Source organism: Homo sapiens, chromosome 13, assembly GCF_000001405.40.
Source record: "Homo sapiens chromosome 13, GRCh38.p14 Primary Assembly".
NCBI lineage: Eukaryota > Metazoa > Chordata > Mammalia > Primates > Hominidae > Homo > Homo sapiens.
This window is the reverse complement of record NC_000013.11, coordinates 111095635-111110714: the sequence shown is the minus strand read 5'-3', so window position 1 is coordinate 111110714 and position 15080 is coordinate 111095635. Positions and strand designations below refer to the sequence as shown.

The 15080-nt window shown below is 40.4% G+C and overlaps 1 long non-coding RNA gene across 1 annotated transcript; it reads right to left on the bottom strand.

The window, feature by feature from the left end:
- Positions 1–4812: 4812 nt before the first annotated feature.
- Positions 4813–14877, bottom strand: LINC00368 (long intergenic non-protein coding RNA 368). Its single transcript, NR_120415.1, has 3 exons — positions 14821–14877; positions 13853–14045; positions 4813–8017 (listed from the first exon to the last, which is right to left on the bottom strand). It is a non-coding gene; the product is annotated as a long intergenic non-protein coding RNA 368 (long non-coding RNA).
- Positions 14878–15080: the final 203 nt, after the last annotated feature.

The following is a 15080-nucleotide window of genomic DNA, read 5'->3' as shown; positions in this document are numbered from 1 at the left end:
ATTGTTTACCACTTTTCAGCATCACGAGTTGGTGCTCCAGCATCCTGCAGAGGAGACCAGTGATTTTTCTGAATACCATTATGAATTCACAGACTTTGAAAAACACATTTGATACATTTCAATTTCTTATTTCCCTCTTCTTAATTTCTCTTTTTGGAATTCTTGGGAGACCTTTCTCCATGAGTCTCTTCCACTTCTGAATATCTGAGCAGAGGTAATGACAGCTTTTGTTGCAGACTATATTTTCAAAAGTCTTTTAAAGCAAACAGCCTTGGAAAGTAGATATACTGTTCCCCTTTTGGGAAGAGGACAAATTTGCTTGCCAACCAGTAGATTTAAAAAATGTCTGTCTCTGGGAGAGTTTGAGCAGGTTTGCTTGCAGTGCCTTTAAAGACTAGGGTTGCCCAAGCTTGAAGTCCCTTAGCTGTGACACAAGCCCACCATGCCTGCAGCCTTCCCCTGGGCCACCTCTGCATGGCCTCATGGGACTCAGAAGCAAGGAGCCTGTTATGAACCTGAAGCCCATGCTGCCTGCTCAGCCAGGGTTCATATGGTCGTTTGTTTCTGACCCAGGAGTCTCGTGTCTTCTTCCAGCATCCATGAAACTGTGGCTGACTGTCTTAGTTTGTAAGTTGGGTAAAAGCTCAGATCCATTCTAGTTCTTCACAGTGCCTTTATTCATTTCTCAAGATGAATGCTCAATTACCCTTTTCCTTCTAAATATAACTTTCACTGTGTCCCATGAGTTTTATTAGAAAGTACATTCTTTTCCATTGCTTCCAAGGGGATTTATAAGTTCCCTTTCGATTTCCTCTTTGGCCAAATCCTTTCAATTTTTTAAATAGATAAATAATAGATGTACATATTTGGGGGTTACATGTGATAATTTAATACATTCATATAAAGATTTATTGTAAAGATCAAGTCAGTGTAATTGGGATATCCATAACCTTAAATATTTGTCTTTCCTTTATACTAGAAACATTTGAATTATTCTCTCCTAGCTATTTTGAAATATGTAATAGATTATTGTAAATTATAGTCACTCTACTGATCTATCAAACACTAGGTCTTCTTTCTCCTATCGAACTATATTTTGGTATGCATTAAGGAACCTGTCTTCACCCCTCGCTCCCCTCCACCCTTCCTGTCCTCTGCTAACCACCGGTCTACTCTCTGTCTCCATGAGATCCACTTTTTTAGTTCTCACATATAAGTGAGAGCGTGCCATATTTGTCTTTTTGTGCCTGGCCTATTTTACTTAACAAAACGACCTCTAGTTTAATCCATGTTACTACAAAAAAATTTCATTCTTTTGTATGGATGAACAAAATTTCATAGTTTATATATACCACTTTTTAAAAATTTCATTCATCTGTGTTTTGTTTTGTTTTGTTTTGTGACAAAGTCTCACTCTGTTGCCTAGGCTGGAGTACAGTGGCGTGACTGCAGCTCACTGCAGCCTTGATGCCCTTGGCTCAAGTGATCTTACCACCTTAGCCTCCCAAGTAGCTGGGACTACAGGAATGTGCCACCATGCCTGGCTAATTTTTTTGTATTTTTTGTAGAGGTGGGTTTTTGCCATGTTGCCCAGGCTGGTCTTGAACTCCTAGCCTCAAGCAATCTGCCCACCTTGGCCTCCCAAAGTGCTGGGATTACAGGTGTAAGCCACCACACCCAATCTTATTCATCTGTTGATAGACATTTAAGTTGATTCCATTACCTTGGCTATTGTGAACAGTGCTACAATAAACGTGGAAGTGTAGATATCTCTTTGATATATTGATTTCCTTTCTTTTAGTTTTTTTGTTTTGTTTCGTCTTGAGTCAGAGTCTCGCTCTGTCACCCAGGCTGGAGTGCAGTGGTCTGATCTCAGCTCATTGCAACTTCTGCCTCCCGGGTTCAAACAATTCTTATGCCTCAGCCTCCTGAGTAGCCGGGACTACAGGTGCCCACCATCATGCCCCACTAATTTTTGTATTTTTATTAAAGATGGGGTTTCACCATGTTGGCCATGCTGGTGGAACTCCTGACCTCAGGTCATCTGCCCACCTTGGCCTCCCAAAGTGCTGGGATTACAGGCATGAGCCACCGTACTTGGCTCGATTTCCTTTCTTTGGGATATATACCCAGCAGTGGGATCGCTGGATCATATGGTAGTTCTATTTTTAGTTTTTTGAGGAACTTCCATACAGTTTTCCACAGTGGCGGTACTAAATTACATTCCCACCAACAGTGTATGAGGGTTCCCCCTCTTTGACCAAATCTTTATCTAGGAACATGTTTTCTTAATTATCAATGACTTCAGAGTTCATCGGCCATTGATTGAGATTAGGCAATCAAGCCTATATATTCCTACTCTCTAAAACTTGCTAGGATTTTAAATATTTCATGAACTTATGAAAAAATGTGTATACTCTGTTCAAGAGAATATGCAATTATATTACAAAAAGTTTTTGTAATTTATTAAAACACTTTTTATCCTGAAATAATTTTATATTCACAACAGGTTTCAAAAAGTAAGAGAGTTCCCATGTGCCCTTCACCCAGCTCCTTTGATGATAATGTCTCACATAACCAGAGTATGCTTTCAAAATAAGGAAATTGATGTGGGTACAATACTATTAACTAAACTATAGACATTATTTGGACTTCACCAGTTTTTACATGTACTGTATGTCTATGTGTGTAGATAGTTCTATAAATTTTACCACATGCATAGATTCTTATAACCACTGCCACAATCGGGCCACAGAATTCTTCCCAAAACTACAAAAAACAAAAACAAAAAACTTCCCTTTAGCTACTTTTTCAGACTCACACTGTGCGCCATTGAGGCTTTTTTGTTTTGTTTTGTTTTGTTCTGTTTAGACAGTTTTTGCTCTATTGCCCAGGCTGGTCTCAAACTCCTGGGCTCAAGCAATCCTACCATTTTAGCCTCCCAATAGCCAATTGAGTTTTTAAATTTTTTCCTGTTCCCACCTTTTTTGTCTATTAGAAATGTCGACTCTCATGGACATACTTTTTTTTAACTTTTATTTTAGGTTCAGGGGTACATGTGCAGGTTTGTTACATATGTAAATATGTAAATTACATACCATGGGGGTTTGCTGTACAGATTATTTCATCCCTCAGGTAATTAGCATAACACCTGATAGGCAGTCCTTTGATCCTCTTCCTCCTCCCACCTTCCAACTTTAAGTGGGCCCCAGTGTCTGCTGTTCCATTCTCTGTGTCCATGTGTATTCAATGTTTAGCTCCCACTTACAAGTGAGAACAAGTGTAGTATTTGGTTTTCTGTTCCCACATTAGTTCCCTTAGGATAATGGCTTCCAGCCCCATCCATGTTGCTGCAAAGGATGTGATCTCCTCTTTTTATGGTTGCATAGTATTCCATGGTGTATATGTACCACATTTTCTTTAACCAGGCTACAACTGATGGACATTTATGTTGATTCCATGTCTTTGCTCTTGTGAATAGTGCTGCAGTGAACACGCATGTGTATGTGTCTTTGTGGGAGAACGATTTATATTCCTTTGGGTGTATACCCAATAAAGGCATTGCTACATCAAATGGTACTTCTATTTTAAATTCTTTGAGAAACCATCAAACTGCTTTCCACAATGATTGAACTAATTTGCATTCCCACCAGCATTGTATAAGTGCTCCCTTTTCTCCACAACCTTGCCAGCATCTGTTATTTTCTGATTTTTTAATAATAGTCATTCTGAATGGTGTGAGATGATATTTCATTGTGATTTTAATTTGCATTTCTCTAATGATTAATGATGTTGAGCATTTGTTTTGTATCCTTGTTGGCCGTGTGTATGTCTTCTTTTGAAAAATGTCTGTTTACATCCTTTGCCCATTTTTTAATGGGGTTGTTTTTTGCTTATTAGTTTGTTTAAGTGCCTTGTAGATTCTGGATATTAGACCTTTGTCGAATGCATAGTTTGCAGTTATTTTTTTCCCATTCTGTAGGTTGTCTTTTTACTCTGTTGAGAGTTCCTTTTGCTGTGCAGAAGCTCTTTAGTTTAATTAGGTCCTATTTGTCAATTTTTGTTTTTTTGCAACGTTTTTGGCATATTCATCATGAAATCTTTGGCAGGGCTATGTCCAGAAGGGTATTTCCTAGGTTATCTTCCAGGGTTTTTAGTTTTAGGTTTTACATTTAAATCTTTAATTCATCTTGAGTTGGTTTTTGTATATGGTGTAAGGAAGGGTTCTAGTTTCGATATTTCGCATATGACTAGCCATTTATTGAATAGGGAGTCCCTTCCCCATTGCTTGTTTTTGTCGACTTTGTTGAAGATAAGATGGTTGTAGGTGTGTGGTGTTATTTCTGGGCTCTGTATTCTGTTCCATTAGTCCAGGTAACTGTTTTTGTACAGTACCATGCTGTTTTGGTTACTGTAGCCTTGTAGTAGAGTTTGAAGTCGGGTACAGTGATTCCTCCAGCTTTGTTCTTTATGCTTAGGATTTCCTTGGCTACTTGAGCCATTTTTTTGATCCATATGAATTTTAAAATAGTTTTTCTTTGTTCTGTGAAGAATATCATTGGTAGTTTGGTAGCAATGGCATTGAATCTATAAATTGCTTTTGGCAATATGGCCATTTTAACAATATTGATTCTTCCTGCCCATGATCATGGAATGTTTTTCCATTTGGGTCATCTCTGATTTCTTTGAACAATGTTTTGTAATTCTCATTGAAAAGATCTTTCACCTCCCTGGATTAGTTGTATTCCTAAGTATTTTATTCTTTTTGTGGCTATTGTGAGTGGGATTGCATTTGCTTTTTTTTTTTTTTCCTTTTTTTTTTTTTTCTTTTTTGAGACATGGTTTCACTCTGTCACCCAGGCTGCAGTGCAGTGGTGTGATCATGGTTTACTGCAGCCTCAACCTCCTGGGCTCAAGCAATTCTCCCATTTCAGCCTCTCACGTAGCTAGGACTACAGACACAAGCCACCACACTCAGCTAATTTTTAATTTTGTAGAGATAGGGTCTCCCTCTGTTGCCCAGGCTGGTCTTGAATTCCTGTGCTCAAGCAATCCTCCTACCTTGTCCTTCCAGAGTGATGGGATTACAGGCATGAGCCACCACGCCTGGCCAGATCATGTTCTTGATTTGGCTCTCAGCTCGGACATTGTTTGTGAATAGAAATGCTACTGATTTTTGTACATTGATTTTATATCCTGAAACTTTGCTGAAATTGTGTAGCAGATCTAGGAACTTTTGGGCAGAGACTATGGATTTTCTAGGTACATAATCATATTTTCTACAAACAGAGAGAGTTTGACTTACTCTCTTCCCGTTTGCATGCCTTTTATTTCTTTCTCTTGCGTGACTCCTCTGGCTAGGACTTCCAGTACTATGTTGAATAGGAATAGTGAAAGTGGGTATCCTTGTCTTGTTCTGGTTCTCAAAGGAAATACTTCAAGCTTTTGCCCAGTAAGTATGATATTGGCTGTGGGTTTGTCACAGATGGCTCTTATTCTTTTGAGGTATGTTCTTTCAATGCCTAGTTTGTAGAGGGTTTTTAACGTGAAGGGATGTTGAATTTTATCAAAAGCCTTTTCTGTTTCTATTGAGATGACCAGGTGGTTTTGTTTTTGGCTTTTTTAAATAAATAAAATAAAAATAAAATCACTTTATTGATTTGCATATGTTGAACCAACCTTACATTCCAGTGAGAAAACCTACTTGATTGTGTTGGATTAGCTTTTCAATATACTACTGGATTTGGTTTGATAGGATTTTGTTGAAAAGTTCTGCATCTATGTTCATCAATGATATTGGCCAGAAGTTTTCTTTTTTTGTTGTGTCTCTGCCAGGTTTTTATATCAGGATGACACCGGGCTTGTAGAATGAGTGAAGGAGGAGTCCCTCCTCCTCAATTTTTTGGAATAGTTGCAGTGGAATGGTACCAGTTCTTCTTTATACATCTGGTAGAATTTGGCTGTGCATCCATCTGGTCCTGGGCTTTTCCTGGTTGGTGGCCTTTTTAATATTGATTCAGTAAGAACTCATTATTGGTCTGTTTAAGGATTCAGTTTCTTCCTGGTTCAATCTTAGAAGGTTGTATGTTTCCAGGAATGTATACATTTCTTTTAGATTTTCTAGCTTGTGTGCATAGAGGTGTTCATTGTAGTCTCTGAGGGGGTTTTGTATTTATGTGAGTTTAGTGGCAATGTCCCCTTTGTCATTTCTCATTGTGTTTATTTGGATCTTCTTTATCCTTTTATTTATTAGTCTAGCTAGCAGTCTGTTAATCTTATTTATTATTTCAAAAAACCAGTTCATGGATTCATTGATCTTTTCTGTGGTTTTTCGCATCTTGATTTCCTTCGGTTCAGCTCTGATTTTGCCTCTTCCTTGTCTTCCGCTAGCTTTGGGGTTGATTTGTTCTTGTTTCTTTAGTTTCTCTAGGTGTGATGTTAGGTTGTTAATTTGAGATCTTTCTAATTTTTCGAGGTAGATGTCTAATGCTACTGACTTCCCCCTTAATGCATTAGCTGTGTCCCAGATATTCTGGTATGTTGTATCTTTGTTCTAATCAGTTTCAAATAATTTCTTGATTTCTGCCTTAATTTCATTGTTTACCCAAAAGTCATTCAGGAGCAGGTTGTTTAATTTCCATGTAATTATATGAGTTTGAGTAATGTTCTTAGAATTGATTTCTATTTCTATTTTTATTGCACTGTGGTCCAAGAGTGTGTTTGATATAATTTCAGTTTTTTAAAAATTTCTGAGGATTGTTCTGTGGCCAATTGTGTGGCTGATTTTAGAGTATGTGTTATGTGCAGATGAGAAGAATGTATATTCTGCTGTTTTGGTGTGGAGAGTTCGGTAGATATCTATTAGGCCTATTTGGTCAAATGTCAAGTTCAGGTCCCATATGCCTTTGTCAATTTTCTCCCTCAGTGATCTGTCTAATACCATCAGTGGGGTGTTGAAGTCTCCCACTATTATTGCGTGGTCATCTAAGTCTCTTCATTGGTCTGTAAAAACTTGCTTCATCAATCTGAGTCTTCCTATGTTGGGTGCATATATTTAGGATAGTCTTCCTGTTGAATTGAATCCTTTGCCATTGTCTAATGCCTCTGTTTGTCTTTGTTGACTGTTGTTGGTTGAAAGTTTGTTTTGTCTGAAATTAGAATTGTAACTCCTGATTTTTTTCTGTTTTCCATTTGCTCGCTAGATTTTTCTCCATCCCTTTACTTTGAGCCTATGGGTGTCATTGCAAGTGAGATAGGTCTCTTGTAGACAGCATATAGTTGGGTCTTGCTTCTTTATTCAACTTGCCACTCAGTGCCTTTTAACTGGGGCATTTAGTCCATTTACTTTAAAGATTAAATATTAATATGTGCAGGTTTGATCCTGTCATCATGTTGTTAGCTGGTTATTATGCAGACTTGATTGTGTGGTTGCTTTATGTCAATGGTCTATGTACTTAAGTCAGTTTTCATGGTGGCAGGTAACAGTCTTCCCTTTCCACATTTAGCATTCCCTTAAGGACCTCTTATAAGGCAGGCCTGGTGGTGGCAAATTCCCCTAGCATTTGCTTGTCTGAAAAGGATGTTATTTGTCCTTTACTTATGAAGCTTAGTTTGGCTGGATATGAAATTCTCAGCTGGAATTTACGTTTTTTAAGAATGCTGAATATAGGCTCCTAATCTCTTCTGGCTTATAAGGTTTCTACTGAAAGGTTTGCTGTTAGCCTGATGTGGTTCCCTTTGTAGGTGACCTGACCCTTCTCTCTAGCTGCCTTTAATATTTTTTCTTTCATTTTGACCCTGGGGAATCTGATGACTATGTGTCTTGGGGATGGTCATTGATATCATTTAGATATTTGTCCCTGCTCAAATCTCATGTTAGGATATAATCCCCAGTGTTGGAGGTGGGGTCTGGTGGGAGGTATTTGGATCATGGGGGTGGATCATTTTACTCACCATGAGTAAAAGCTTCCTGAGACCTCCCTAGAAGCAGATGCCAATGTTATGCTTCCTGTACTACCTGCAGAAACATGAGCCAATTAGTCCTCTTTTCTTATCAATTACCCAGTCTCAGGTATTTCTTTATACCAATGCAAGAACAACCCAATACAGTCATCTTGTGTACTATCTCACAGGGGTTGTCTGCATTTTCTGGATTTGAATGTTGGCCTCTCTAGCAAGGTTGGAAAAATTTTCATGGATGGTATCCTCAAATAAGTTTTCCAAGTTGCTTGCTTTCTCTCCCTCTTTCACTGATGCCAGTGAGTTGTAGATTTAGTCTCTTTCCATAATCCCATATTTCTTGAAGGTTTTGTTCATTCTTGTTTGTTTTGTTTTGTTTTTGTTGTTATTTTTGTCTGACTGAGTTATTTCAGAGAACCAGTCTTTTAGATCTGAAATTCTTTCCTCAGCTTGGTCAATTCTGCTGTTAATACTTTACATTGTATTATAATTTTTTTTTTTGAGACAAGGTCTTACTCTGTCACTCAGGCTGGAGTGCAGTGGTGTGATCTCAGCTCACTGCAACCTCCACCTCCCAGGCTCAAGTGATTTTCCTACCTCAGCCTCTTGAGTAGCTGGGGCTACAGGTGTGTGCTACCACACTTGGCTAATTTTTGTATTTTCTGTAGAGATGGGGTTTCTCCATATTGCCCAGGCTGGTCTGGAACTCCTGGGTTCAAGTGATCCACCTGTGCCAGCCTCCCAAACTGCTGGGATTATAGGTGTGAACTACCATGCCTGGCCTGTATTATGAATTTTTTTTTTTTTGAGATGGTGTCTCACTCTGTCGCCCAGGCTGGAGTTCAGTGGCACAGTCTCAGTTCACTGCAACCTCCATCTCCTGGGTTCAAGTGATTCTCCCACCTCAGCCTCTCGAGTAGCTGGGACTACAGGCCCGCACCATCATGCCAGACTAATTTTTGTATTTTCAGTAGAAACGGGGTTTCACCATATTGGCCAGGGTGGTCTCGAACTCCTGACCTCAAGTGATCTACTCGCCTCAGCCTCCCAAAGTGCTGGGATTACAGGCATGAGCCACAGCACCCGGCCATGTGATTCTTGAAGTGAGTTTTTTAGCTCTATCAGTTCAGTTCTTTCTTAAAACAGCCATTTTGTCTTTTATCTTCTGTATCATTTTATTGTATTCCTTAGATTCCTTGAATTGGTTTTCAACTTCCTCCTGAATGTCAATGCTTTTTATTCCTATCCATATTCTGAATTCTTTTTTCTGACATTTCAGCCATTTCAGCCTGGTTAAGAATCACTGTTGGGGAACTAGTGCAGTTATTTGCAGGAAAGAAGACATTCTGGCTTTTTGAGTTGCCAGAGCTCTTGCCCTGTTTTGTTTTTTTTTCTCATTTGTGTAGGCTGATGTTCTTATAATTTTTGAAACTGGTGTCCTTTTGATGGGGTTGTTTTTAGTTTCTTTGATGCCCTCGGGGGTTCGTTTGTGGTATAAGGTGGGTTCAGTCAACTGGCCTCGATTCTAGTCTACTATTGGGTCTTGGAGGAGGCCCCTTCAACCACTGTCTCCATGCCTATGCTTCTCTTATTGGGTGTTCTTGTCCATGGGGCTCCCTCAGGCAGGGGCCGCAGTTGGCAGAGAGGCCATACCCTTGTTGGGTCAGCCTTAATCTGCTGTCTGAGTGCCTCCTGAAGGAACACAAGGTTGTGCTTGCCAGCAGAGTTCAGGCAGAAGAGAGACTGCTGGGCTGAAAGCTCTAGCAAGACTTGCCCACTTGGCTACCAGCAGTGGGGTTGGATAGGGTTGCCCATCCTGCTGTCTGGGTATTTCCTGGGACAACAGGAGGCTACATCCTCTGGCTGAGTTCACACAGAAGTGAGAATCCTGGGCTGGAAGCGCTAGCAGGTGTCGCTTACGTGGTTGCCAGTGGTGGGGATGGGTGGGGATGGGTGGGGTCTCCCACCCTGCTATCAGGGTGCTTTCTAGGACAGCAGGAGGCTGCTGCTGCGCTGAGTTCAGGTAAAAGCAGGGCTGCTGAGCCAGAAGCTAGTGCCAAGCCCAGTCCAGTGAGGACTGGTGGTGCAATCTTACTCCTCCCACGTCCTGCAGCTGTGGCTCTGTTGGAGCTATGGCACCAGTGCTGGTCTGCTCTGGGACCCAATGCTTGTAGAGATGCCCTTGGACTCAAGAGTTGCCCCCACAAAATGTCCAGGTGGCTCTCTGCCTGACTCTAGAAGCACAGTGGGGGTGTTTGGGGGTGCCAGGGAGATTCTCCCATTCCCAATCTTACACAGGTCCCTGTGGAGAGTGTGAATCCCCCAGGGGTCTCCACTCACTCACTCATCTTTTCCCATATTGGAGAGGTTCTCCTGGCTACTCACTAAGCCCAGACTGGCTGGGGCCCAGCTTTGCTCCTCTCTGCTCTCTGTGTCCCACTGCTGTCTTGATGGATCCCGACATGGTTTCTCAGATGATCGACCTGCAGGGTCAGTGTTCACCAGCCCTTTTGTTTCCTCTCAGTAAGAGTGGTGCATATGAGCTGCTTCTAGTTCACCATCTTGGCCCCTCCTCTCACGGACATAAATTTTTAAATCATTTTCCCTAAATTCCAAATTATTTTAAAAATTACATAAGATGTTAGATGCACAGGTTGGTTGAAAACTTTTGCATCTTTCTCATGTTATGCCTTAAATCAATTCATGATGTCCCTTCCTCATTCTTCTGTTCCTAATTTTAGCATGTCTGGCATTTTTCTATCCTTGTTTTCTTTATACTTGTATTTACCTGATAATTCTTTGTCCATATCTTTATTTTCAAGCTTTTTTCAAGACTTCGTTTTAAGTGAGAATATGCATAAATAGCATGAAATCAGGCTTATTTTGTGTACTTGACAGTGTATTTTCTAAAAGAAAAATAGTCCATCCTGTACTGACTGATACATTCATTTTATTCTCTTTATTTTAATAAAGTATTATTTATTTTACATTGTTGTTTTCTATTTTCATTTCCCATGTTTTAGTTCATTTGTTCAAATTACTCTTCTTTTCCGTTTTTGTCCTTTTGTTAAAACTTAAAAACAGCATTATAATTTTCCATTTAGAAAATAGTTATCTACCCTTTATTGGCTTACAGTCAGACACATATTCCTCTAGTTTTAAAAGTGGGATACCATAATGCACTGCTTTTCCACCAGTAGGTTCTTTCTTCTTCCAGCTCACCACCCACATGAGCAGGAAGAGACATGCAGAGGGCCTTGAGCTGTGCTCCTGGCACCACCCCACTCACATCCCAGAGCAACCACTAGAGAGCTCTGGCCTCCACTCATCTTTGCCTCCAGTGCCTATATTTTTCAATCAGTTTAGTCGTTTTAGTTTTCAATTATTATTAGAGTTTCACTTGTAGAATATCCCTTCTTTTCCAGGAGTTTTTATTTAGCTCTTATATTACACATGCTCAGGGAATGTAATCAAATGTGCACTCTCTCTCCCCTAATCTATGTAAATAACATGGGTGGGTGGGTGTCCGTCTACTGTTGCTCGCATCATTTCTTCTTCCTCATCCTTTCATACATCCTAAGGCCCTGGTTCTGGTTTGTGTGTTGTTGGTGTTATGTCTCAGAGATTTACCTCCAGTGGGACATATGGGTGATGAACTATTTAATTTCATCCATGTTTGCAAATCTGTTTTTATCACCCAACCAGTGATTGCTATCTTGGCTGGATAGAGAATGACTAAGATGCAGTCTGTCTTTCTCAGTAATGGCAGGATATTATTCCATTATCTTACAGCTTCTGGTGTTGCAGATAACGAGTCCTACGCTAGTTTGATCCTTTTATTCTTTGTGAATAACTGGTTATTTTGGTCTACAAATTTATAATATTCTCTCCTTATCATTAGATATTAGAACTTTCATGAGGCTATGATTACATGTGCGTGCACGTGCACATGTGTGTGAGTGCATGTGTGCACATATCCATGTTTATCATCATTTTTGCCTGAAACTTCATGAGTCTTTTCAAATTCCTGACTCAATTTCTTTTCAGTTTAGAAGTATCTTCTTTGATTATTTGTTTAATACCTTTCCTCCATGTCTTCTTTCTTTTAACATTTTAGAACTTTTATTATTTTCCTGTGAATTCTTTACGTGTTTTCAGTGTCTCTGATATTTTTCCTAATGATTTCCATCTCCTTCTATTTCCACTCACTTTCAAAGAACCAGGGAATATTTGTCAGCAGAAGAGGTGAAGAGACCCATCCAGAGGACAGAGAAAACAGAAAAGGGATAAGAAAGTTAGCAGAATAGCATCCAGAGGACAGGGGCAAGAGTTCTGGTATGATAAACACATTCACCAAATTTGAAATGGGCAAGGTATGTGTGTTTGGAGAAGAAGTAAATGGGGAATCAAACAGATGAAATTATATCGTTTATCACCCACATGTCCCACTGGAGGTAAATCTCTTCAGACATCACACCAACACCACACAAACCAGAACAGGGGCCTTACGCTGCATGAAGGGATGAAGAAAACAAAATGGTTGTGAGCAATGATAGATGGACGCACACACACCCACGTTATCTGTGTAGATTGGGGAGAGAGAGAGAGCACACGTGCACACATTCTGTTATGAATTGCCTAAACTGCCTGAGATTTGTGCTTTGAGATTTGTCTTCTCTTTTAGATGCTAGTCCAATCATTTGGATGTTCTTCTCCTCTAATTCATCAATTATTTTGTTATTTTAGCTTCAGAAAGTTGTGTGTGTGTGTTGCACTTAAAACTCCATAAGCATATTTTTGTCTTGTGTTTATAATTTCAGAAATAAATGTATATTTGCAGAACGAAAATTCTCTCCTTCACCATCAGGGGTTTGTGGTGGTTAAAACAATTGTTCCATTATTTTATGGCCAAAGTAGGGGGAAAGAAGGCTCAAGAGGCTTGGAGCAAGTGGCAGCCCCTCTCCTGTTTCACAGCACAGCTGCCCCCAGCATTTCTGCCCTCCCCAGACCCCACACTCCAATTCCTCATTTCCTTCTTTCCAAAATACAACCCAAATTTGGTGAGTATGTTTATCACACCAGAACTCTTGCTCCTGTCCTCTGGATGGTATTCTGCTAACTTTCCCATCCCTTTTCTGTCTTCTCCATCCTTTGGATGGGTCCCTTCACCTCTTCTGCTAAGAAATATTCCCTGGATCTCCCCACCTCGCCTTCCGCACCCCTACTCTCTCCACCTTCCTTGTCTCCAATCCTAACCTTTAACAATCTCTCCACAACCCTATCATCTTCTCTTCAAGTTATTGTCCTATATTCTCCCTCCCCTTCCTAGTTCCTCACCCCTCAATCACACTTGCGTTGAGTAAAACTCCTTCACTAGTTTGCTAAATGAGCCTCAAAACTAGGAATGAAGCATATTTTTTGTGGAAGTTATAATTACCCGGCAGGTACCAGAACTTCCCCAGGGCTAAGTAGGAAAGGCTCTCGCACCATTTTGTTTCCAGAAAGAGCACGAACAAGAAGGTCCAAAACAGGATAACACTCTTTCTTAATGGTCTTGGGGCTAAAAAGCCTCTTGAGAATCTGGTGGAAGCTAAGGAAACTCTCCTCCAACACAGAACATTTCAGAGGGCACTTGGATGCCCTGGGGTGTAGCCATGGGCTTCACATTAAGCGTGTGCTCGCTCAGGAGCAAATGCCAGTGGAGGACACACGAGCCTGAAGGATTCCACGGCCCAGAAAACCTACTCAGGAGAAAGCAGCAGGCACTGGAAGATTAAGCCAGTCCAGTGAGCTCTTGTTTGTATGCATCATCAGGATGCCATGATAGACAAGGCTTGTTGGAAAGCCAAATGTTTTACAAATAAAAGCTGTTTTCTTCTCCAGGTGAATTTACCTAAGAGAGGCTTGCAAGTGCTGTCCTCAGTGCCCTTGCCTGGGTGTAAAATAGCAGAGACCGAATCCAGGACTGGGTGTGAAAACTGCTGATTGGTCGCAAAGCCTGAAACAAATACTGCCTTAGAAGTGAGCGGTACTGTGATTCTTCTGTTAAAATGCCCGTTCATGCTTTACCTATATTCTGTGCAAAACTAAAAAAAAAAAAATTATACTGGAGAAGTACTTTTTGAAGCAGAACAGAAGCAGATACCAACAAATAAATATTTGATGCATAATTAGTTCCCTGCCATATTTTGTACCTGGGTAGTAAATCAATCTTACATGAACATTTTTTGCTTTATATGGCTTTGGCCATTTGAATGTAAATTTTACTTCCAGAGGGAAGCATTTTTAATTGCCCTGGTTGCTGTTTTTGTTTTTATTTTTATTTATTCCCGGAAAAAAAGGCACATCAATTAAATTATGAGTTTGATTAATTGGAACCCAATTTTAGAAGCCGCGTCTTATTGAATATACAGAAGACCTTTAAGAAACAGGGATTTTTGAGCTTGTCCTGGTCCTACATTTCATTAAGAGTCTGCCTAGATAGTGTGAGCTAATTAGCCCGGGGTGAGAAAGCCTCATCCCCACCAAACAACTTCTGGTGGAGGGGGTTCCCTTAGCTCAGGAAACTGGTTAGAGATGAAGGCAGTAAAACGAAACGAAGGGTTCACAGAGGAGTTAAGAAAATAAGGAGTGGAACAACCAGCCCAATAAAGAAGTCATCGGTCAAAGGGGTTAAGAACGAAACACAGAAAGGACAGAAAGAAAAAGAGACTAGGCTCATGGCAATATGCGAGCACTGGAGGTTCTAATAAAATGTGAGTGTGGGGTGCCAGCTAATTCAAATGTAAGGCTAAAGGTGGCTTAGAAGTAAAGTATTAGGATAAGGAAACACATTAAATGAAGAAAAGGCAGCATACATACATGTGTTCATAGCAGTGTAATTACTTCATGTAGGAGCCTGGAAATATTCGTATCACTGGGAAAGGGCGTGGTAAACAGGGTAGAACCTTCACAGACCATTGTGAGGTCAGCAGGAACGTGAAGAGCGTGAGGTCAGTGTATAGAAAATAAGCACGACCGTTTATACTACAACTACAGCCACACCCCAGAAAAGCAGGGGTCCGTGACCCCCACAGCCGGTCGCCACATCGAGCCCTGGGCATAAGGGAGAGTTCTATTTG